The sequence below is a fragment of the Homo sapiens genome, chromosome 11 (genome assembly GCF_000001405.40).
Source record: "Homo sapiens chromosome 11, GRCh38.p14 Primary Assembly".
NCBI lineage: Eukaryota > Metazoa > Chordata > Mammalia > Primates > Hominidae > Homo > Homo sapiens.
In genome coordinates this window covers 70,291,303-70,316,136 of record NC_000011.10, presented here as the reverse complement: position 1 = coordinate 70,316,136, position 24,834 = coordinate 70,291,303, and the positions used below count along the sequence as shown (strand labels likewise).

Sequence of the window (24,834 nt, the reverse complement as noted above, 5' to 3'; positions counted from 1 at the left end):
CTGCGCCACTGCACTCCAGCCTGGGCAATGAGAGCCAAACTCTGTCTCAAAGAAAAAAAAATTTAAAAAAAAAGGAAGGAAATTCTGACACATAATACAATATGGGTGAACCTTGAGGATGTTGGGCTGAGTGAAATAAGCCAGTCACGAAAAGACAAAACACTGTAGAATTCCACTTATATGAGGTCTCTAGAGCAGTCAAACTCATAGAGATAGAAAATAGAATGGTAGGTGTCTGGACAACGCTGGGTGGGGAGGGTGAGATAGGGAGTTGGTGTTTAATGGGGATGGAGTTTCGGTTTGGGAAGATGAGGAAGTTCTGGAAATGTGTGGCAGTAATGGTTGCACAACAATGTGAATATACTTAATGCCGTGAACTGGGTGCTTAAAAATGGTTATGATGGTATTTTTATCTTACATGTATTTTACCACCAAAAAAAAAAAAAAAAAAAAAAAAACAGAAAAAAAGAACTTCACAGAAGGCAAAGTCTTGTGTCTTCTCAGTCAAAAAGACGTCTAATAAATGGACACAAGGACATGAGAAACCGGCATGCAGAGCTCACACTGTGATCTTCAGGCAGTAGAAGCTACTCGCCTCAGTCTAGGTTTAAAAGCATGTCAAATTTGAAATAAAGAAAATTAGAAGTTTATATATTAAAATGAATGAGCAAATCATGTTTTGAAACCCTGGTGCCACGATTAAAAGTATGCTAATAAACATCTATATCTATCTGCCCGTCAGTCCATAGATAGATGGCAGGGTGCACCACTCCTAATGATAAAAGGGGGACAGGAGGACACTAGAAAAGAAGACCACAAACTTCACATTTTTATAAATTTTATAAAAATTTGGTCTCATCATCTCACTGAATTCTAAACATGTTCAAAGCCACTGTGACTGAAGTAGCACTGGCTTTTCAATCACTGGACAATATTTGCGTATAACAGATTACATAAACATTTTTAAAGTTCCAATATATCTGATACGGCTGTGAAGCCACCCAAAATCTCGAATTATAATCCCCTAATTCCCATGTGTTGAGGGCAGGACCAGGTGGAGGTAACTGGATCATGAGGGCGGTTACCCCATGCCGTTCTCGTGATAGTGAGTGAGTCTCACGAGATCTGATGATTTTATAAGTGTCTGGCATTTCCCCTGCTTGCATGCACTCCGTCCTGCCGCCCAGTGAAAAAGGTGCCTGCTTCTCCTTTGCCTTCCCCTGTGACTGTAACTTTCCTGAGGCCTCCCCAGCCATGCGGAACTGTGAGTCAATTAAACCTTTCCTTTATGAATTACCCAGTCTTGGTATTTTTTCATAGCGGTGTGAGAACGGACTAATACAATATCTTATTTATTTTCCCTGTCAGTTTCTCTTTAAGAAATACATGCTGAAAAAATGTATGCCCAAACCTAGTATTTAGGGACCACATAAATATTGAGTTAAAAAAACATAGTACAGAACCGCATTTCCATATGATCCTATTTGGTTAAAAGCAAACACACGCTTTTATGTATTTTTCAAGTATATATAAGATAAAATATAGAAAGATACACACCAAGCTGCTGATGCTGGTTACCCACTACAGTTGGGAATGAGAGTTGGAAGTAAGATAATTTTTTTTTGTTTTAATTTTTAAGTCTGTATTGCTTAGTATTAAAAACAAAAAAGATCAGTCCTCCTTTCTGTCTTTCTAAACAATGCTAAACCCAAGGACATGACCAGAATACACGGTGTCCACATGGACACGTAACTTGTTCAGAAACTTTTCCCCAGCCTGGGTTGTCTCGGTCTTCAGTTCTGTTTCCTGGCCCCTTACTCACCACTGCAATTGTCTCCAGCGCCTGCTGCTTTCATGGCACTCACCACCTCTCCTCTGCTAAACCCAAAGGCCAGCTCCAGTCCTCATCTACTGGGTAGCCTCTGACTGTTCACCCCCATCTCTTCACCTCACCCTGTTTCCTGTCTGTCTATTCACAGAATGCTGGTGCTCCTGGGGTTCCACATTTCCGGTCTGCTGCTCACCCTATGCAGTGTGCCTGCCTGATCCGGCCGGTGTCCGTGGCTTCAATCACCTACCCTAGGCAAATGCCCAACCGCACTTTTTAAAATTTCTATTTGAGACACGACCTCAATCTCTCATCCAGGCTGGAGTGCAGTGGGGCAATCACGGCTCACTGAAACCTTGACTTCCTAGGCTCAGGTGATTCTCCTGCCTCAGTCTCCCAAGTATCTGGGACCACAGGCATGCGCCACCATGCCCAGCTAATTTTCTGGAGAGATGGGGGTTTGTCATGTTGTCCAGGCTGGCCTCAAACTCCTGGGCTCAAGTGATCCTCCTGCCTCCACCTCCCAAAGTGCTGGGATTACAGGCAAGATATCTTGGAGGTTCAAAAACCTTTGTCCACACTGAGCTCATCATCATCTTCCTGCCCAAGCTCCCAACTCCTCATAAGCTCTCACGCAGTGGACATCAGCATCCAGTTGTCCAAGTCAGACACTGAGACATCACATCGCCTCCTCCTCCACAGTAACCACTGGCTGAGGACCCCTCATTCGCCCTCACACACATATCTTCTAGAACTGCCCACTCCTCTACCTCCTCGCCCCAGCTTCCTTTATCCAAGCCACTGTGTCTCCTTGGTCTACTAAAAAAGCTGCCTAACTCATCCCTGCCTTCAATCTTTCCCCGCTCGGATCCATTCTCTATGTTTTCCGAAACAAATCAGACTCTGACTTTCCTGCTTAAAATCCTTCAGTAACTTCCCATTGCCCTTAAGGTCAAGCCCAAAGCCCCCCTAATAACTTCTAACCCAAATGAGAAGTCATAACACACACTTCTGTTGCATTATCTGCCAGACATTGTTCTAAGCACTTAACATGGATTGTCTCATCCAGACCTTGATACTCTATCAGGTGACACCATGAGCACACAGAAGAGAGGTCAGAGTGGCCGCTCTAGAAGTCAGCTCCGCCCATTCTGACTCCAGCGTCTCCCTCCTCACCTCATGCCTCACAGCACATCGGTCACAGCAATCTACAGCTCGCTCAACATGCCGTCTGTTCCTCTGCTGGCCCTCCACACCACGGTTGTTCCCTCTGACCTCTGAAGCTGCCACTTTTCCCTGACCAGCTCCCACTTACCTGATGTTCACAGCTTGAGGCCATTTCCTGCAGAGGCCTCCTCTACTTCCCACGTGGGCATGGACAGGTCCCCTTGCTAGGTGGTCACACCCGCCCCCAGCCCCGGCATTCCTCACTTCCCGGCTGCATGTCCAGCTGTCTTCCCCACTCTACTCTGAAAAGCAGAAGCCCAGACCTGTGACAAAGTGCTGGGCACCCAGGGGGAACCCAGTCAATGTCCGCAGCCCAGATGATGGCAATGGAACCAAAGGCACACCCATTCACAAAACCAGAATGCTGCCTATCAGGAAAAATAATGCACTGCACACCTGGGCTCTCGAGTTAGCAAAACACGCAGGCTCCACGATGTTGAGGCGGCACAGGCAAGACGGGAAGTACAGACTGGCTGCACAGTAACCACCTGTGGAGCTGATTCAAATGCAGACTCCTGGGCCTCACCTTGCTGAATCAACACTCCTGTAGGGGGAACCAGGAAGTATATATTTTTTAAATGCTAATTCGCTAGCTAGGCATAGCGGCTCCTGCCTGTAATCCCAGCACTTTGGGGGGCTCGGGTGGGAGGATCATTTGAGGCCAGGAGTTTGAGACCAACCCAAGCAACATGGTGAAACCTGGTCCCTCCCAAAAATACAAAAATGATCCAGGTGTGGTGGTGCGCACCTGTATTCCCAGCTACTTTGCGGGCTGACGTGGGAGCCTCACTTGAGCCCAGGAAGTCAAGGCTGCAGTGAGCTATGATCACACTACTGCACTCCAGCCTGGGCAACAGTGCCCAGGGCAACAGTGCTCAAGGCTGTTTTGAGACCCTGTCTCAAAACAAATAAAAAAAGACAACAAAATGCTAATTCACGGCCAGGAGTGGTGGCTCACGCTTGTAATCCCTGCACTTTGAGAAGCTGAGGCAGGCAGGATCACTTGAGCCCAGGAGTTCGAGCAGCCTGGGCAACATGGTGAAACCCCATCTCTAAAATAGAAATATAGAAAATAGCCAGGCGTGGTGGTGCATGCCTGTAGTCCCTGCTGCTCGGGAGGTTAGGTGTGAGGACTGCTTGAGTCCAGGAGGTTGAAGCTGCAGTGAGCTGTGTCTACACCACTCTATTCCAGCCTGGGTGACAAGGTGAACCCTGCCTCAAAAAAAAAAAAAAAAAAAAAAAAAAGCTGACTCACTGTCCTTCCATGTTTGAAACAAACTGACCCTTCCAACCTCAAACATGTCACTTAAGTTATTATTCCTCTTGGTTTATGTATCCACAAAATGTGTGCAAAGACAGCTACACTCTACCCATGGTCCACAACCGTAACAATCAAATGGGAAAACCATCAAAAGTGCCATTCAACTGAAAGGCAGTATCGCCACCAGCCCTCTAACCCAGGAGAGCAGCTCGACAGGTGTCCCGCAGCCCCTTCCACATTAACACCTCCTCTCTGTCTGCTCCTCAAATGCAAATCCTTGGCCTGTGATGGACTGGTTGATTTTTGCCACATGGCTAAAATAAAGTTACTTAATATCTCAACTGTTAATTCAGTTCTTAGCAGTACTGTTAACAGTTTGAAGAAAGCAGTTGTGTGCATTCCGACGCATGAAGTGGAAAATGATCACACACGCCCTCATCACTGTCAGTCTATGGACAACTTTCTGGATTTCTAGCCTACCCTGCACCTGCCTTTATCTTTTTTTTTTTTTTGAGATGGAGTTTCACTCTTGCTGTCCAGGCTGGGGTGCAATGGCCCAATCTCGGCTCACCACAACCTCCACCTTCCAGGTTCAGCGATTCTCCTGCCTCAGCCTCCGGAGTACCTGGGATTACAGGCATGCACCACCACGCCTGGCTAATTTTGTATTTTTAGTAGAGACGGGGTTTTTCCATGTTGGTCAGGCTGGTCTCGAACTCCCGACCTCAGGTGATCCGCCCACCTCGGCCTCCCGAAGCCTTTATCTTTGCTAACAAAAATCCTCCAAGAATGTCTGCATTCTCTGCCTTTGCTTCCTGGGTGCTCACGGCCTGCCTTCCTGCCTTCACTGCTCACAAACTGCTCCCAAGGGTGAACAACCTTGAGCGCTCCTAAGAACCAGTGTGTCCTCGGCCTCTCTGCTCTCCCGATACTGGGTCCTTGGCCTGTGGATGGACGGCAAACAGCACTTAGCCCTCAAACCTGGTCCTGTCTTCCAGAACTCGTTCAGTCTCCGTTAAATGACAAGGAGCTCACCACTACCAACCGCAGCTTGAACTTAACAAAAACAGAGTGGGGTTTTCATTTGGAAGAGAAAAAGAGGAAAAAAGCCCTTAGTGCTTTTAGAAAAGTACATGGGGCCGGGTGTGGTGGCTCACGCCTGTAATCCCAGAACCTTGGGAAGCTGAGGCAGGCGGATCACGGGGTCAAGAGATGGACATCATTCTGGCCAACATGGTGAAACCCCATCTCTACTAAAAATACCAAAATTAACTGGGCGTGGTGGCGCGCACCTGTAGTCCCAGCTACTCGGGAGGCTGAGGCAAGAGAATCGCTTGAACCCAGGAGGCAGAGGTTGCAGTGAGCCAAGATTGCCCCACTGCCCTCCAGCCTGTCGACAGAGCAAGACTCCGTCTCAAAAAAAAAAAAAAAAAAAGTACATGGATGAAATAAAAATGCACTGTGCCTCTCTCTTAACTTCTGGCTTAGCAACTAAGGAGGGTGCATTTGTGTGTTTCTAAATGTCAAATCAGTATCACTGAAGGTCAAACCTGAGAAACCTTAATTCAAGACGTGGTCTCTTCACCAGCTACAGTGGCATTGCCAGCCACTTTATAATAAACACAATTTATAATCCATCTGGTCCGTCAGCTCTGAAACTATATTATCCTTAATGATTTAACTTGTTTTTTGTTTTGACTCTGAAGGGAGTTGCATTACTTCATAGTAACTGAAATACTGATGTGAATATACATTCAAAAAATTTATGACCATACTGCTTTTATGTTTTAAAATTTTTGTCAAGATAAAGGTCACATAAAATTCTCCATCCTAACCATTTTAAGTGTACAATTCAGTGGTTTTTAGTATATTCACAATGCTGTGTTACCATTACCACTATCTAATTCAAAACATTTTCGTCACCCCCCAAAAAAACCCCATACCTATCAGCAATCACCACCGACCCTCCCTCCCCTCTCCGCCCTAGGCACCCACCAATCTGCTTTCTGTCTCTGTGTATCTGCCTGTTTCGGACATTTCACAGGAATGGAATCATACACTATGTGGCTTTTTGTGCCTGGCTTCTTTCACTTGGCATAGTATTTTCAAGGGTCGGACATGTTGTAGCATATGGTAGCTCCACTCCTTTTTATTCCTTTTTATTTTTTGGAAAACTTTTTTTTTTTTAGGCAAAACTGGGATTTTTTCATGGGAGTTTCTAAGTTTTGCTTCCTGTACTTTTATCATTCTGCTAAGAGCAAACCAAACTATCTTTGGTTGTTGTTAGCATTTCAATACTTAAACACATATAATTGCATAGAATAAGCAAGCAAGACAATTAAAAATATTAGCAGCCAGGCATGGTGGCTCATGCCTGTAAACCCAGCACTTTGGGAGGCCAAGGCGGGCAGATCACCTGAGGTCGCAAGTTCGAGACCAGCTTGACTGACATGGAGAAACCCCCGTCTCTACTAAAAATACAAATTAGCCAGGTGTGGTGGCACATGCCTGTAATCCCAGCTACTCGGGAGGCTGAGGCAGGAGAATCGCTTGAACCCGAGAGGCGGAGGTTGCGGTCGGCAGAGATCGCGCCACTGCACTCCAGCCTGGGTGACAGAGCAAGACTCCATTTCAAAAAAAAAAAAGTTAGCATGTATGTTTCAAAACAACCTGAAATATTACTGAGAATGTATATTTCATATACTTCAGAATTCAAGTATATATTAGTAAAAAAAAACCCAAAGAAAATACATTCTAATTAACATGTTTAAACAGCCTGAGGGGAGGGGCAGAATCAAACCAACAAAATAAAAATAAATAAAGGGCAGAAACCCTTGATTCCAACAGAAATGAAAGCCTTCTACAATCACCTTTTTATTCTTACATTTGTTTATCTCTTCGAGAGAGTCTCGCCCTGTCACCCAGACTGAAGTGAAGTGGCACAATCATAGCTCACTGCAGCCTCCAACTCCTAGGTTCAGCCTCCCAAGTAGCTAGGACTACAGACGTGCACCACAATGTTCAAGTTGGGTTTTTTTGTTTTGTTTTGTTTTGTTTTTTTAAGAGATGTTATGTTGCCCAGACTGGTCTTGAACTCCTGGCCTCAAGCAAACCTCCCACCTTGACCTCCCAAAATGCTGGGATTACAGGCATGAGCCACTGCGCCCAGCCTCTGCGATCAATTTTTTAAAAGAATATTCACTTAAGAGTTTCGGATACATTTAAAACACTAGAAAATAACAAAATACAAACATATGACATCCAGTTTATATTTATAGTATTTTTCAAAGTTCCCAATAGAGCAAGTATGTGACTTTTGGCATTGATCATGCTTACAGGAATATAAAATATTTTTCAATTTCAAATATTTAATAGACCTATGCATGTGCCAAAAAATCAATGAATCATAAACTGTCTTCAAAGCATGAAATCAGAAAATGCCTGTTTGAACTTGACAGTCTAAAGCCATCACTGGCCAGGCGTGGTGGCTCACACCTGTAATCCCAGCACTTTGGGAGGCTAAGGTAGGCAGATCACTTGAGGTCGGGAGTTTGAGACCAGCCTGACCAACATGGAGAAACCCCGTCTCTGCTAAAAATACAAAATTAGCTGGCCGTGGCGGCACATGCCTGTAATCCCAGCTACTCAGGAGGCTGACAGAGGAGAATCGCTTGATCCCAGGAGGCGAAGGTTGCGGTGAGCCGAGATCGCACCATTGCACTCCAGCCTAGGCAACAAGAGCAAAACTCCATCTCAAAATAAATAAATAAGCCATCACTAAGGTCAGTGTATAACCCATATTTCTAAATACATTTTGGCCCTAACAAGGTTTAAAAACAGTGGTAGCAGCAGCAAAGGAAAGGGGATTAGGACAGAGCTTTTTTCTTTGCTTTTGGAGACAAAGTCTTGTTCTGTTTCCCAGGCTGGAGTGCCGTGCTGTAACCATGGCTCACTGGAGCCCTGAACACCCATACTCAACCAATCCTCCCACTTCAGCCTCCTAAGTAGCTGGGACCACAGGTGCACACCATCATGCCCAGCTAATTTAAAAAAAAATTTTTTTTGTAGAGGTAAGGTCTGTCTATGTTGCCCAGGTTGGTCTTGAACTCCTGGCTCAAGGGATCCTCCTGCCATGGCTTCCCAAAGTGCTAGGACTACAGGGGCGATCACACCCAGCCTAACAGACCTTTTTCTTTCTTTTTTTTTACACACACCTTTAGAAAAAGTACTTAATTTTTTTGGATCAGTAATAAAGGTGTATATAGAGAAATCTCCCTTTCAGCCCTGTTCACTCTTCCACACAGTAGGTAACTAAAGTTGTGCCTTTCCTGTTTATCTAGAGATTTTTTAATGCATATATGAGCAAATCTATTCTTTCGCCCTTGCTTTTCTTCAGTTAAGGATATTTCCATATCGGTGCATAACATCCTCCTCCCTTTTTACAGCTTCCTGGCATACAAAGAATATGAATCATAATTTAACTGTTCAACTACTGATGAGGTTTATGTTCCTGCTTCCAATCTTTTGCGATTACAAATAATATGGCAATGAATAACCTTGTAAATACATCATTCTATACCTGTGCATCTATACCAGTAAGATAAAACCTTAGAATTTCTGGGTCAAAGGGAATTTGTAATTTAAAAGATACTGCGAAATTATCCCCAGTAGGCCAGCAACATAATAAAATGCTTGTTTCCTTGTGGCTTACCACCCTGGTGTGTTATTAAACCTTGAGGTTAATTTTCCCTTTTTTCAGATCCATTCTCCATTCGCCATTGCCTATCATACAGGAATCTCCAAAATCTCTTCATGTACTCAACTGGGTGCATGTCTGGCCATCTGCTGGGAGAGGTGGGAAGCAATATGTTTTCTGTGATACCCTGTTGCTCCTCTGAGTCTGTCATGACCCAGGGAAGGATTCTGACGTTTCACTGGAAACAAAGAAGGCTCAGGGGTTTTTTTGTGAGATTATAATACTTCCTCATTTTCTCCAGGTGACAATCTATAATATGAATGGCATGTTATCTCTAACTTCATTATTTACCTTTTCTCTTATTACGTATAAATGACTGGTCTGCTTTTACCTATCCTAACACATTTTTATCCAGCAGAGTCACCTCTTCTTTTGTGTTGCTATATTCTTCTTTGTAATAGCTTCTGACAATCTTCTCTTAAAGCCAAACATTCGTTATCAGAAAGTACACACATCGGGCCTTATGCCTTCTAGGGTTGTCATGCCCAAGCATTTATACAACAAAACATTTTACTGTAAACTAATTTCCCCTTATTTATTTTACATCACAATTGAGGCATTGTATTGATTTTTCTAAAATTATGTGTTTAGGTAGGGTTTTTTTATGAATGTCATTTTATGATAAAAATTATAATTTAAAATACTATTAAAAGGAGACACCAGATTGCTCTAAGCTATCCACTTAGAAATGAACCTGCTGCGTCAAAGGGTTACGTACTTTAACTATCAATGTTTTTAATGTTATAAATTACAGTGTATTTAATCAATGTTTTACTGCTTGTCACTCCCCTATACGTTTACAATTTACAGTAAGAGATTTTTGTGCCTTAACAAAAAAAAAAATTAAAGATCACAAGCAATCCATTTCTCCATTGACGATTAAGATTGCTTCGCAAGTAAGCGTGCATGTGTGCGTGCATGTTTTACTCCAAAAGAAAAAGGTCACTTTGCACCAGTTTGCCCCAAAAGGCCATTTTTCTAGTCCCACAGTACCACCATGCAAAATGAGGGCTGCCTTACTATTTCTAAAAACAAAACATTACTTGAAAAATAATCCATTTATTTTGTTCAAATGTCAGCACAATTTCTCCGTTTTGAATTTTGCTTTTTTAAACCTCCCCATGGCAATAAGGGGTAGATTAAAATACCCTATTACCTAACAGTATAAATAACCATAAACTTATCACTAGTTAGCTTGATATTCAAAGTATTACTTTTACTTAAACATTACATGTATCCTAACATATGCCCAAATATAAGCCAATTTTGAGTGAGAACCTCCCAATTTTCCTATGAAGGAAACTACCAATAGAAGTTTTCTGGCCACTTTAGAATGTAAATTAGTCAACTGTGAGTCAAATTCAGTCCTACATTTTTATTAGAACAAACAAATGGGGCCAGCCTCAGGGGCTCACGTCTGCAATCCCAACACTTTGGGAGCTGAGGCAGGCAGACTGCTTGACCTCAGGAGTTCGAGACCAGCCCAGGCAGCAGGGTGAAAACCCATCTCTACAAAAATTAAAAAAATAGCCAGGCGTGGTGGTGTGCCTCTGCAGTCCCAGTTACTTAGGAGGCTGTGGTGAGAGGATCGCTTAAGCCCAGGAGGTCGAGGCTGCAGGAGCCGTGATCATGCCATTGCACTCCAGCTTGGCCAGAGTGAGACCTTGTCTCAAAAAAAAAGAAGTAAAATAAACAGATGAGTCGGTGGGTTGGTAGGTCAAACTGTTTACTCTAGTTGCATGCTAAGTTACTGTATCTAACAAGCCAATTTCCCACCTAGAGTTCTATCACATGCATTTCAAACATTTCCAAGAAATTCTGAACCTATGTTTTCTCCCCTTTTTTTGCTGTGGCAACTGTCACTCAGCTTTTGGTGAGCCATTTGGGCATCAATTGACACGACCATTTGGTGGCACTGCCACATCCTTGCCTTGGAGAAACAAAGAGTCTGCTCTGCCTGCGGGACACTAGGCCACTGGCTGCCACTCTGTCACTCACAAACTGCCACCATGCTCTGGAACACGGTGGTCATGCCTGGTGATGCTGGCAGTGATGGGACAATCAAAACATGAAGTAAATATATGCAGGTGACAGGAGGGGTGCCAGTGTCTCAGGCACCTTGAACTTGAGAAGGGCAGGGCACTTGATTAACATCCCCACTTCTCTAGTAAAATGAGGGGGTGCTGACCTCCCTGGCTAATGAGGATAGGAAAAATCAAAGTGTTTTCCCTACTTCCACACACACCACCACTGCTGACACCAGATGTCGGGGGTGTAAAGCAATTCTGCCGCTGTGTGCCTCTAATTCCATGCAGTTCTGCAGCTGTGTGCCTCTAATTCCATGCAATTCTGCACTGTCCAGCTGGAGAGTGTATCAATCCCACAGGGTAAGGCTCAGTCCCACAAGACCACTCCCCCAGTCCTTTGCAGGTGCCAAGTACAAGTCCCAGGTTGTGACCTGTGCTTCTGACCAACCAGCTATGAATCAGGGTTCCCATGATACCCTTCTCGGGTTCAATTAAATTTGCTGCAGCAGCTCACAGAACTCAGAGGAGCACTTTACTTACATTTACCCATGTATTATAAAGGATATCACAGGCTGAGCATGTTGGCTCACATCTGTAATCCCAGCACTTTGGGAGGCTAAGACGGGAGGGCTGCTTAAGGCCAGGAATTTGAGACCAGCCTGGGCAACATAGTGAGATCCCATCTCTAATTTTTTTTTTTTTAAAGGCTATCACAAAGGACCCAGGTGAACAGCAGAAGGAGAGATGCACAGGGCAAAGTATGTGGGAAGGGGTGCAGAGCTTCCATGCCCTCTGAGGGCACTACCCTCCAGAAACTGCTACATGTTCAGGAACCCAGAGCCCCCAGAATCCTATCCTTTTAGGGTTTTAGGCTTTGTTACATAGGCATGACTGATTAACATCATTGGCCACTGGATAACCCAACCTTCAAACAGAAGCTAGGGCATGGAGCTCAAAGTCCTAACCCTCTAATCCTGCCTAGGTCTTTCCAGTGACCACTCCTTTTTTCTTTTTTTTTTGTCTTTTCTTTTTTTGAGACGAAGTCTCGCTATCTCCCAGGCTGGAGTGCAGTGGCGCGATCTCAGCTCACCGCAACCTCCGCCTCCTGGGTTCAAGTGATTCTCCTGCCTCAGCCTCCGGAGTAGCTGGGATTACAGGCACACACCACCACGCCTGGCTAATTTTTGTATTTTTAGTAGAGACGGGGTTTCACCATGTTGGCCAGGCTGCTCCTGAACTCCTGACCTCAAGTGATCCGCCTGCCTCAGCCTCCCAGAGTGCTGGGATTATAGGCATGAGCCACCGTGCCAGGCCTCCAGTTACCAGTCCTTACCTTGAGGCTACCTAGGGGGTAGCCAGTCACCAGTCACCTGATCAGCACATAAGGACACTCTCAGTACTCCAGAGAGTCCAGGAGCTTGAGAAGCTCTGTGCCAGGGGCCAGGGCACAGACCAAATGTACATCTCTTCTTATGCTACAATATCACACTTGGCACCGCTCAGGAATGGCTTTAGAGTTCACAGGTAAGCAATTCTCCAGAAAAACCTTAGGGTATGCACAAGCTTTCCCTGATTTCATAACAATTGTAGTTAGCATTTTTCAGGCTCATATTAGCAAGGAAAGCCACAAGCAGCTTTTACATGTAATTAAACAATCTGCCAAACTTTTTCCGTGACATTTATTAAATTGGAAATGTCCCAGATGTGTGTGAGTAAGCATTCTGAGACCGCTTTCCAAGACTTGTCAAGGTTCTGCAGACAGGACTCGGTATATTCTGCTAGACCAAGTGCTACCGAAGAGCAGCACTCGAACACGCGGTAGGGCTGCCCGACACTGCGTCAGACCGGGGTCTAGAACCACAGTGCAATGCTGAAAGAATGCAAGGTACGCCAACTGAGAACGCTGGCCAGTGTTTTAACAGACATGGGAGACCACAACTGAAAACTCAAGCCTCAGCATACGCAAGACCAAGGAAAACTGGGCTGCCACTTTCCTTTCAGCCTGTGACATGGTCTTAGAGATGTCAGGTCAAAATTGGGAAGTTTGCTAATTTAATAAACAGGTATCTCAGAGGAATCAAAGGTCTACGTATAAAGCTGTAACTGAAAGACGCCTTATTAGGGATTTCTTCCTGTGGTGTGGTGGCACAAATGTAGTCCCAGCTACTTGGGACACCGAGGCAGGAGGATTGCTTGAGCCCAGGAGTTCAAGATCAGCCTGGGCAACATACTGGGATCACATGTCTTTAAAAAAAAAAAAAAAAAAAATGGTGTTGAGAGTATCTACGGCTACATTTACATTTACATTCCTGATATTCTGCTGATGAGTCAAGAAAACACAACACTCTAGTGTTCGAGACCATACAGCTAAGGCTGAATGTATAAATATAAATGGACTTGTTAAAGCTTTTGATTCTGTCTCATGCAGTTTTCTTAACAAGCATGACATTGCCTACCAGAAAACGACATAACTGACTGGCAGAAATGATAAAAAGAAAGGGTTTATTGTCAACCAAGGAAGCGTCTCAAGTGCCCTGTCTCCAGCTCACAGCTCTGTTGCCGCAGTGTGCTCCCTCTGCCCGCCCAGACTCCACTGCCCATCTCCATCCTCCCACGAGGCTCTCAGAGAATGCACTCCAGCCCTGGATAGCCACCTTCCTGTGAGCTCACAGCCCTCCATGCCTTTCCTGTTTCCTGGTCAGCCACCCTTCTCCCACTGCTCCCTGGGGAAGCATCCCCTCTAAGGACCAGTGTGGCTGCCCCACCCTACGAAGCTGCTGGCTGCTCCCTCCTCCAATCGAGCCTCTCTTCCCACTGCTGCCATCCCCACGATCCCCTTGATGCTGAATGGGACCTCACAACCCTCAGTTCAACCATTCCCCCTCCTCTGGGAAGGCTCTTCTGGCCCCTGAGGGCAACCTGGCCAGCTCCTTTCCTGTGCTATGCTGGATTCTGTCTACTGTGCCACTGCACAGCCACCGCTTCACTGCACTTTCGTGAGTCCACTTAGACTCCATGCTTCCCAGCTGAAAGGCTGTGCCCATCACTGTTAAAACCCCAAGCCACAACAAGGAACCGAGCAAAGCAGCCATGTTCACACGGTCACTGCATATGGAATTAACTGAGTAATACTGACAGCTCACATTACTGCACGGTGGTCCCGTGAAACATTCATGTGCTGCGTACTGCGTCTGGCAAAGCAGTCTGACGAGAGCTCTATGAATGGTTTCACCCTCTACTTTAACAAGAAGGCATCTCAAAATGAGCCAAAGATTCAGATACACAACTGTAAACGAAGGTCCTTTATTAAGAATTTCCTCTCTGTGGTTCTATTAAGCTTACTAAATAGACATATAAGCTTAAGAACAAGTACCCCTATTAATTCAAGCACTTTCCTGAACAAAAAAATATTTCTAAGGTGCTATATGCTAGGTACTCAAAAGATGTAAACTGCAATAACTATATTTGTCTAATGCCTTATGATTTTCAAAATACTTTCATATATTTTATCACATTTTACTCTCAGCAACCCAGTAAGGCACTCATAATTACCTTATTTTACAAATTAGAATACAGACCCAGGCAGATTAGAGAGGTACAAAGGTCACTCAGCTAGTAAGTGGCTTGGGACTCGCAGCCCAATGCAGATGTTATCTTCAGGGGAAGATACCATGGTGAGGACCAAAACCAAGTGCGCAGGGAAGCTGAGTTCTCTCCATCTTCCCTGTGTTGGGGGCTGTGTTGAGTGGTTTGCAGAGACATGCCTCACATCAAATGAATGTCTACTTTGTGCAGGCTAGCATGGTAGATACTTTATGTTAGTTCTCATCAAGTCTACTTATTGGGTAATAAGTAGTATCTCTATTTTACAGATTTTATAGATGGCAAAACAGTCTTAGAGGTGAACTATCTTGGCCAAGATCAGAAAATTGGTACGCAGAGGACCCAAAACTTCTAACAGGTATGTAGGCGAGAGGGAACAAGGAGTGACTGGGCAGAAAACAACAGACTGCCATTGCAGCAGTTAGTAAAAATGAAGGGCCTGTTTACACAGTAAACCCATGACCTTAAATGGAGAGAATCATGCTGGCCTCACCTCCCAGGGTATCTTTTGGTGGTTTCTTTTGCCCCCTCATGGCTTATCTTGATCCTAATATTTCATCTGTGTTTTTCTTAAAGCCGGTAGCATTTTAAAAGTTGGAGTAGGCCGGGCGCGGTGGCTCATGCCTGTAATCCCAGCACTTTGGGAGGCCAAGGCGGGCGGATCACAAGATCAGGAGATCGAGACCATCCTGGCCAACATGGTGAAACCCTGTCTCTACTAAAAATACATAAAATTAGCTGGGCGTGGTGGCGGGCGCCTGTAGTCCCAGCTACTTGGGAGGCTGAGGCAGGAGAATGGCATGAAACCAGGAGGGGAGCTGGCAGAGGGCCGAGATCACGCCACTGCACTCCAGCCTGGGCGACAGAGCGAGACTCCATCTCAAAAAAAAAAAAAAAAATTAGGTGGGCATGGTGGCACATGCTTATAGTCCCAGATACTGAGAGGCTGAGGCAGGAGAAGTGCTTGAACCCAGGAGACGGAGGCTGCAGTGAGCCCAGATCGGGCCACTGTACTCCAGCCTGCATGATGGAGAAAGACTCCGTCTCAAAATAAATAAATAAAAATTAAAAAAATAAAAGCTTGAGTAAACATAAAAGGAATAAATAGTAAAATCAGCCCCAAGCCCCTGAATCCCAGTAGGAACTGGCGGAGAAAAAGCACCTATGAGGAGTGAGAAGAAACCATGCAGGCTTGACTTTGGCTTTGAGGGGCGCATGGTAATGAAGAGGAGTCTGCGGGACATCTCAGGAGAAGGGAGTCCAGGCCTATGGGAAGGGGCAGAGGGCATGGCTGGCAGTGATGGAGGGAGATCTGTGGGGCGGGTGGAAGGGGCAGAGGGCATGGCTGGCACTGATGGAGGGAGATCTGTGGGGCGGGTGGAAGGGGCAGAGGGCATGGCTGGCACTGATGGAGGGAGATCTGTGGGGTAGGTGGAGGGAGCCAAAACACGGAGTCGGTAGCCGGGCTAAGCAAGTCGAGATTCTGTTCCTGCGCCTAGACAGACACTGAACAAACCCTCCCAAAGCGATGGCTGAGGTTAGGCTGGTGGCTGTGGCAAGTGTGCTGGGTGGACTCCAAAGGGAGAGTGCAGAAGCACAGCCTGGACCACAGGCACCGAGGTCCCGGCTCTGAGACGAGAACATCAAAGGCGAGTGTGTATCAGGGGGATCAGGAAAGAAACCCCTGACAGAGCCTCTGAGTGGCAGCAGGGGAGCAGAGGGGCCAAGAGCGAAGCTTGGATGAGAGGCAGAGGGCAATGCTGACTTGGAAGGGAAGGAGAGCACAGTTCTGGCAGGAGAGACAGCAGGACACCCAATGGACACGTCTGAAACAATCACAAAACACAGGGCTGAGGTCCCCGGAGCATCCAGAAGGGAAGAAGACCCCACGATAAAGGCTGCTGGAGGGGCCGAGGAGAGGGTTTGTTCAGATGAAAGTAACTGTCCGAGAACAGTATCTTTGTGGATAGCAAGTGCTACCTTTCCCTTGATTCTTTTCACAGGGGTTTACCTAACATGAAAAGAAATCCCTAATGCCTGCCAGTGTTGAGTAGTAAACAGAGAGATGTCAGCAGAAGCACGGTATTAACATTTTATCCTATGGTGTCTGACCCCTGTAAGAAAAAGAAAACCATTTTATTCTAAAGCTGCAGCTAACAAAAGGCCTACCCAGAACCTGTTTCTTTCTTTTCTTTTGAGACGGAGACTCACTCTGTTGCCCAGGCTGGAGTGCAGTGGTGCAATCTTGGCTCACTGCAGCCTCAACCTACCAGGCTCAAGTGATCCTCTTGTCTCAGCCTCCCAAATAGCTGGAACTACAGGTGTGCACCACCACGCTTGGCTAATTTTTGTGTTTTTAGTAGAGACGGGGTTTTGCCATGTTGCCCAGGCTGGTCTCAAACTCCTGAGCTCAAGTGATCCGCCTGCCTCAGCCTCCCAAAGTGCTGGGATTACAGGTGTGAGCCACTGTGCCCGGCCCAGAACATGTTCCTTTAAATAAAAAGGCATGGTAAAATTGTTCAATGATGACAGAATAACTGTATCTAGACACTTACCCTCTAAATTACTGACAGTTTAAAAAGTGACTGTAACTTACTATGGTAAGTGTCCGTATCTCTTTATGCAGTATCACTGTAAACTTCTAAGAGAATCGTAAAGATGAATGTAACAGCAATCCCCATAGTGAGTCACAGCACAGGAGAACCAGCACTCTAAGGTGGGGAGGCAGGGAAGCTCTTCCCCGAGCCCAGGGAAGCCCTCTGAGCAGCAGCTGATGTTTTCAGGCCAGCACCGTGGGACAGATCAGCCTGGAAGTCTTTTAATGAACAGGTTCTGGGATGAACACTTCTAGGTACACTCTAGAAAATGTCACTTCCTGGCAGCACCTGGGCCTTTTAATAACAACCATTTATAGTAAAAATAGTTTGGGGAACACAAAAAAGAAAGTGCCAGGCATTCATGGGTTTGTGAAAAGCACCCAGACCCTATCTACAGGAATGTGCTTTTAAGCAGTCTCCTAATTCATCATCAAACTGTTTCAGGAACAAGTATTTCTATGGTTTGCACAAGAAAACAACCTTGGAATGTAGATTCTTTCCGATGTAAAACCTTTATTCTACCCACCCACTACTGCCTCCTGCATAGGCCTTCTACCACTCAGCTCAGCACCCCACTACACACAACCAAAAAGGCAATATTTCTTGTTTATGAACCTTTCTCCTTGAAATGGAATAATCAGGAACAGGAATAAAAGTAACATGGGCAGTGATATAACAGAAAAGTTGACGGAAGGAAGGAAACCCAAACATCTGATTTGGATTTTCATTCAATATGTGTTCTTTTTTCTTTCTAGAGGAAAGTCAGAGCAGAGAGGAGAGAATCACATGGCATTTTTTCCTGATAATTCTAGAGGGAAGGAGCATTACCACCACCATGTAAGCGAATGCGAAACTGCTCTCTTCAGATCTCGAGGCACAGCTGTCAAGGGTTTTATCATGCTGTTGCCATTTGTCAGGCATGCTGGCCACCCAGCATCTGAGCCTCTTCCTATGGATGGGAAATGGTCCACTCTTGAGGAAAAGCAAGTGGCCCAGACGAGGGGCTGAAAGCACCAGAAACTTGCTCTCCCAGCCTCTCCTGCATCTGCTGGTGACAACCTCGGAGCACAGACATTACGGGGAAATGGGGCCCGGCTAGCAGGGCCTGGCTAACCAGTGTCCTCCAAACCTGGTTCTCCACCTTCCCAGAGACACTGTGACCCAGTCAGAATCCTTACAATAATTTTTCTGTGCAGATCACACAGGTAGTGTGTAACAAGCCCTTTGACTTAGCAGGCTTATTTTACCCATTACTCATATTTTGAATATGAGTAATTTTGAATTTCATCCATTCTTCTCACACATGAATGCACCCTTCAGACAATACACCCACTGTGGACACACTGAGTACAAGGAGAGACTGTTACTGTGGACACCATATGTTTCCATATTGTTTACATCTTTTTTCATTTTTTCTTTTTTTTTCATTTTAGAGACAAGTCTTGCTGTCACCCAGGCTGGAGTACAGTGGTATGATCATAGCTCACTGCAGTCTTAACCTGCTAGGTTCAGGCGATCCGCTCGCCTCAGCCTCCTGAGTAGCTGGGACTACAAGCACGCACCACCACGCCCAAATAACTTTTTGATTTTTTGTAAAAGTAGGGTCCTGCTATGTTGCTCAGGCTGGTCTCGAACTCCTGGCCTCAAGTGATCCTTCCACCTCAGCCTCCCAAAGTGCTGGGAGCCTGAAGCGTGAGCCACCGTGCCCGGCCTCTCTGGTTTTGTTTTCTATTGATCACAATTAACTTTGGGAATTACAGGGAAAAGCATTCTTTGCCAAAACCAAACTTCTTTAGCCCATTCAATAATGACTATCAGAAGAATGACTAACATTTATTGAATGCTTATTAAATACCAGGCTCTCTTCTGAGAGCGTCATGAATTAACTATCTTCACCACGAGTCTGTGAGGCACGTCTCACAGTGAGCAGCGGAGAGCTAAGGGGACAGCGCAGACCCAGAGGCCATGCTCTTACACACAACCTCAATATCACACCACATTAACAAGCAATCCTCTCCATAAGCAAAGAAACAAATGTGATAAAGAAAATTCTCCTCTCCCTCTCCCTCCCTCCCCCTCCCTCCCTCCCTCTCTCCCTCTCCCTCTCCCTCCTCTCCCTCTCCCCATGGTCTCCCGCTCCCCACGGTCTCCCTCTCCCTCTCTTTCCACGGTCTCCCTCTGATGCTGAGCCGAAGCTGGACTGTACTGCTGCCATCTCGGCTCACTGCAACCTCCCTGCCTGATTCTCCTGCCTCAGCCTGCCGAGTGCCTGCGATTGCAGGCGCGCACCGCCACGCCTGACTGGTTTTCGTATTTTTTTGGTGGAGACGGGGTTTCGCTGTGTTGGCCGGGCTGGCCTCCAGCTCCTAACCGCGAGTGGTCCGCCAGCCTCGGCCTCCAGAGGTGCTGGGATTGCAGACAGTGTCTGGTTCACTCAGTGCTCAATGGTGCCCAGGCTGGAGTGCAGTGGCGTGATCTCGGCTCGCTACAACCTCCACCTCCCAGCTGCCTGCCTTGGCCTCCCAAAGTGCCCAGAGTGCAGCCTCTGCCCGGCCGCCACCCCGTCTAGGAAGTGAGGAGCGTCTCTGCCTGGCCGCCCATCGTCTGGGATGTTAGGAGCCCCTCTGCCTGGCTGCCGAGTCTGGAAAGTGAGGAGCGTCTCTGCCTGGCCGCCATCCCATCTAGGAAGTGAGGAGCACCTCTTCCCGGCTGCCATCCCATCTAGGAAGTGAGGAGCGTCTCTGCCCAGCCGCCCATCGTCTGAGATGTGGGGAGTGCCTTTGCCCCGACGCCCCGTCTGGGATGTGAGGAGCGCCTCTGCCCGGTCGCGACCCCGTCTGGGAGGTGAGGAGCGTCTCTGCCCAGCCGCCCCATCTGAGAAGGGAGGAGACCCTCCGCCTGGCAACCGCCCCGTCTGAGAAGTGAGGAGACCCTCCGCCCGGCAGCCGCCCCGTCTGAGAAGTGAGGAGCCCCTCCGCCCAGCAGCCACCCCGTCTGGGAAGTGAGGAGCGTCTCCGCCCAGCAGCCGCCCCGTCCAGGAGGGAGGTGGGGGTCAGCCCGCCAGGCCAGCCGTCCCGTCTGGGAGGGAGGTGGGGGGGTCAGCCCCCTGCCCGGCCAGCCGCCCCGTCCGGGAGGGAGGTGGGGGGGGTCAGCCCCCGGCCCGGCCAGCCGCCCCGTCCGGGAGGTGAGGGGCACCTCTGCCCGGCCGCCCCTACTGGGAAGTGAGGAGCCCCTCTGCCCAGCCAGCCGCTCCATCCGGGAGGGAGGTGGGGGGGTCAGCCCCCCGCCCGGCCAGCCGCCCCGTCCGGGAGGGAGGTGGGGGGGGTCAGCCCCCCCACCCGGCCAGCCGCCCCGTCCAGGAGGTGAGGGGCGCCTCTGCCCGGCTGCCCCTACTGGGAAGTGAGGAGCCCCTGTGCCCGGCCAGCCACCTCATCCGGGAGGGAGATGGGGGGGTCAGCCCCCCGCCCGGCCAGCCGCCCCATCCGGGAGGGAGGTGGGGGGGGTCAGCCCCCCGCCCAGCCAGCCGCCCCATCCGGGAGGGAGGTGGGGGGGTCAGCCCCTCGCCCGGCCAGCCACCCCGTCCGGGAGGGAGGTGGGGGGGTCAGCCCCTCGCCCGGCCAGCCACCCCGTCCGGGAGGGAGGTGGGGGGGTCAGCCCCCCGCCCGGCCAGCCGCCCCACCCAGGAGGTGAGGAGCGCCTCTGCCCGGCCGCCCCTACTGGGAAGTAAGGAGCCCCTCTGCCCGGCCACCACCCCGTCTGGGAGGTGTACCCAACAGCTCATTGAGAACGGGCCAGGATGACAATGGCGGTTTTGTGGAATAGAAAGCGGGGAAAGGCGGGGAAAAGATTGAGAAATCGGATGGTTGCCATGTCTGTGTGGAAAGAAGTAGACATGGGAGACTTGTCATTTTGTTCTGTACTAAGAAAAATTCTTCTGCCTTGGGATCCTGTTGATCTGTGACCTTACCCCCCAACCCTGTGCTCTCTGAAACATGTGCTGTGTCCACTCAGGGTTAAATGGATTAAGGGCAGTGCAAGATGTGCTTTGTTAAACAGATGCTTGAAGGCAGCATGCTCGTTAAGAGTCATCACCACTCCCTAATCTCAAGTACCCAGGGACACAAACACTGCGGAAGGCCACAGGGACCTCTGCCTAGGAAAACCAGAGACCTTTGTTCACTTGTTTATCTGCTGACCTTCCTTCCACTATTGTCCTATGACCCTGCCAAATCCCTCTCTGTGAGAAACACCCAAGAATGATCAATAAAAATAAAAATTAAAAAAAAAAAAAGAAAGAAAATTCTCACCATTTCCCTTTTGACTTTTTGCCTTTGTCACAAAGCCTCGTTACACTCAAGGTAGGATTTACATCCCCCATTCAAAGACACCAAAATCCTGCTTTCTGTCCCATGTCTAAAGGACGTGGGCATATCCCTTCAGCAGAAACACTGGATTTCCTTCCCAGTGTTCCTCTCCTTTGACCCTCGCCAACTTCCATCACCTCGCCATCTCCAAACGTTCACTCAGGTCTTCTGCAGGTGAATACTGGAATCAAAGTTTACCTTTCTCTACAATTTGCAACAAAAGAACTGTGCAGGCCAGGTGCAGTGGCTCGCACCTGTCATCCCAGCACTTTGGGAGGCCGAGGTAGAAGGATCACTTGAGGCCAAGAGTTTGAGACCAGCCTGGGAAACATGGCGAAACCCTGTGTCTACAAAAAATACAAAACTCAGCTGGGCATGGTGGTGCACTGCACACCAATGGTCCCAGCTACTCGAGAGGCTGAGATGGGAGGATTGCTCGAGCCCAGGAAGTCGAGGCTGCAGTGAGCCTTGATCTCACTGCACTCCAGCCTGGGCGACACAGGAAGACCCTGTCAAAAAAAAAAAAAAAAAGAGAGAGAGAGAGAACTGTGCAGGAACTACAGAGTATTTAAAGAATCAGAGAGCTGAAAGGGATCCAATCGCTAGTCCTAGGGCTTTCCAACTGTCTTCCTAGGACCCCTTCGAGGGCAGGGTAAAGCAGAGGCTGAGGGTCTCAGCAAATGGCTCCCCAGGGCAGCTGACTTTGCCCTGAGCCACTCTGCATGGTTTTACCTATGGAAAAAGACCCTTCGGAGACTGGCTTCTTCCAGAAAGCTTTAAACTACAGGGCCCAGTCCACCCAGTTTATATATGTGGAGAAGTAACACAAGGCTCCAGCAGATTAAGTGATGGCAGACCAGAAGACGCCACTGGCTCCTGAGCCACCTGCTCTCACACTTTGCTAATCAGCAGCTACCACGTGCCAAAGGCAGTGGGGTAGGGGACTGGCCTTGCCACCGCGACTCTATTATGTTTCAAAGCCATTGGTTTTATTTGCTTCTCTATTGTTCCAGTGATTTGTTTCAAGTAATCATCAAAATACCAACGAAATTGCAGGTTAGCAAATTTTAACGTTATGATGGGCCAAGAGTTGATTGATGGGAAACCAAACAATAGTGTCACACACTTGCTATGAAGCCAACATATAGCACACTTAAATCCCCTTGTTCTGCACTGTGAAAAAGTTTCTGGAAAAAGCAATGAAGAAGGGGAAAAAAACTGAAACTTTGAATGCCTTGGATTAACCACGTGGAAGAGCTAGGAACAGAATTAGATGAGCCACTGAAGAACAGGTAGGTAACCGTTAAAAGATCCCGTTTAGGAAATTATTTCATCATTCTAGGATGCATCACTGTGTGTGTGTCTACTGTGTGCCAGAGGCTACGCTCAACACTGGGGACAGAATAGCACCAGGCAGCAGGCCACATGGGCAGGCACCTTGCTCAGACTAGGCTCCCATCCCAGGCAGGGGAAGCCCAAGCAGCTGCCCCGGATGCTCAAAGGTGGAGTAGGTGCAAGGAGTGGAAGGGGATCTAACTGAGAGACAAGTCCCTCCGTTAAAGAACCATAAGTGTGTGCACTCCAGTAATACTATAAGGGGGCAGAGGGGTCTGAAGGATACTGTTGTGCCCACTTTTTCATGCAGTTGAAGAACTCTGGAGTCAGACTGCTTGGATTCAAATACAGCCTCTACCATGTAATATCTATGGGATCCTGAGTGAGTTTCCAATTTCTTCATCTAGAAAATGGGGTCATAACAGTGTCCTGCTTTATAGCACTGTCACGAGGCTTCAGTGGGGGCTCATTCCTATAAAGAGGCTTAGAGGCAATAAACATTCACTATGATCTCATTCTATCTCCCAAACATCCATATACCCAGCCCCTGGACGGTACCTTACACACAGTAGACAATACGAATTTGCTAAAAAATACCCAAATGATTATTATCTCTAATTTACTGTGAGGAAACAGAAGGCTCAGTGATGAGGGAACGTGACAAAGGTAACAAGGGAAAGGGGACATGCGAGTCCAGCTGGCTCCAAGCCCATGCTCCACACAAACCTACTGCTCTCCTTGCCACCCACCCAGCCCGCGCTCCAATGTGGGAATCCACACAGGGGAGGCGGAGTGGAATCTACCTACAGAGGCAGGCAGAAAGGACGCACATGGCCTGCTTCTAAACTATTCACTGGCCGAGTGTGGTGGCTCACATGTGTGATTCCAGCACTTTGGGAGGCCTAGGCAGGGGGGTCACTTGAGCCCAGGAGTTCAAGAACAGCCTGGGAAACATGGGAAACCCTGTCTCTACAAAAAAATACAAAAATTAGCCAGGCGACTGGCCAAGCGCGGTGGCTCACGCCTGTAATCCTAGCACTTTGGGAGGCAGAGGTGGGTGGATCACAAGGTCAGGAGATCCAGACCATCCTGGCTAACATGGTGAAACCCCGTCTCTACTAAAAATACAAAAAATTAGCCAGGTGTGGTGGCACGCACCTGTAGTCCCAGCTACTCGGGAGGCTGAGGCAGGAGAATCGCTTGAACATGGGAGGCGGAGGTTGCCGTGAGCCGAGATCGCACCACTACACTCCAGCCTGGGCGACAGAGCAAGACTGTCTCAAAAAAAAAAAAAAAAAAAATTAGCCAGGCGTGGTGACACATGCCTGTGGTTCCAGCTACTGGGGAGGCTGAGGTGGGAGGATCACCTGAGCCCAGAGAGGTGGAGGCTGTGGTGAGCTGTGACCATGCCACCGCACTCCAGACTGGATGACAGAGTGAGACCCTGTCTCAAAAATAAATAAATAAGTAAACTATTCATTTAAGTCAGCAGATCTCCATCAATCACAAAAAGAAACAGAGGAAGGGCAATGCACTGAATTCCTGTTTGTAAAGTGCCTTCAGGTAACACAAAGAGCACAATGCCTGTCTGCTGAGATCGCCCTCCAGTGTGAACGCCTCAGCATCTATGGTGGAGGAAAATGAGCTGAGCCACAGGGCTGCTAAGTAAAATTTTACTTGGAATTTCTTTAAGCCTTTCTGCATCAATGGGATCTCACACTTAATCACAAGTGAAGTTCTTTAGATTTTAATTTGTATGAAAAGAAATACCACGTCACACTATTCAAATTAATACTCAGGCTATTCGAAATCATCTCATCCTGCCACATCTCTCTT

The 24,834-nt window shown here is 47.6% G+C and overlaps 1 protein-coding gene and 1 long non-coding RNA gene across 33 annotated transcripts in view, besides 5 other annotated features; one reads left to right on the top strand and one right to left on the bottom strand.

Moving 5' to 3' along the window:
* PPFIA1 (PPFI scaffold protein A1) overlaps nt 1-24,834 on the bottom strand; it is a 113,707-nt gene that overhangs the window by 68,260 nt on the left and 20,613 nt on the right. The gene's annotated exons all lie outside the window — the stretch shown is intronic.
* On the top strand, nt 1,165-18,272 carry LOC107984346 (uncharacterized). Its single transcript, XR_001748288.2, has 3 exons — nt 1,165-1,264; nt 14,972-15,060; nt 18,055-18,272. It is a non-coding gene; the product is annotated as an uncharacterized LOC107984346 (long non-coding RNA).
* Nucleotides 2,086-2,602: an enhancer, noted in NCBI's record as "H3K27ac-H3K4me1 hESC enhancer chr11:70159641-70160157 (GRCh37/hg19 assembly coordinates)". NCBI's record gives its function as "activates a minimal SCP1, AML or CMV promoter by ChIP-STARR-seq in naive H9 embryonic stem cells {active_cell/tissue: H9 hESC(naive)}" and the evidence as "EXISTENCE:reporter gene assay evidence [ECO:0000049][PMID:30033119]".
* Nucleotides 2,669-3,562: an enhancer, noted in NCBI's record as "H3K27ac-H3K4me1 hESC enhancer chr11:70158681-70159574 (GRCh37/hg19 assembly coordinates)". NCBI's record gives its function as "activates a minimal SCP1, AML or CMV promoter by ChIP-STARR-seq in naive H9 embryonic stem cells {active_cell/tissue: H9 hESC(naive)}" and the evidence as "EXISTENCE:reporter gene assay evidence [ECO:0000049][PMID:30033119]".
* Nucleotides 3,563-4,458: an enhancer, noted in NCBI's record as "H3K27ac-H3K4me1 hESC enhancer chr11:70157785-70158680 (GRCh37/hg19 assembly coordinates)". NCBI's record gives its function as "activates a minimal SCP1, AML or CMV promoter by ChIP-STARR-seq in naive H9 embryonic stem cells {active_cell/tissue: H9 hESC(naive)}" and the evidence as "EXISTENCE:reporter gene assay evidence [ECO:0000049][PMID:30033119]".
* Nucleotides 5,067-5,568: an enhancer, noted in NCBI's record as "H3K27ac hESC enhancer chr11:70156675-70157176 (GRCh37/hg19 assembly coordinates)". NCBI's record gives its function as "activates a minimal SCP1, AML or CMV promoter by ChIP-STARR-seq in naive H9 embryonic stem cells {active_cell/tissue: H9 hESC(naive)}" and the evidence as "EXISTENCE:reporter gene assay evidence [ECO:0000049][PMID:30033119]".
* Nucleotides 13,369-13,868: an enhancer, noted in NCBI's record as "H3K4me1 hESC enhancer chr11:70148375-70148874 (GRCh37/hg19 assembly coordinates)". NCBI's record gives its function as "activates a minimal SCP1, AML or CMV promoter by ChIP-STARR-seq in primed H9 embryonic stem cells {active_cell/tissue: H9 hESC(primed)}" and the evidence as "EXISTENCE:reporter gene assay evidence [ECO:0000049][PMID:30033119]".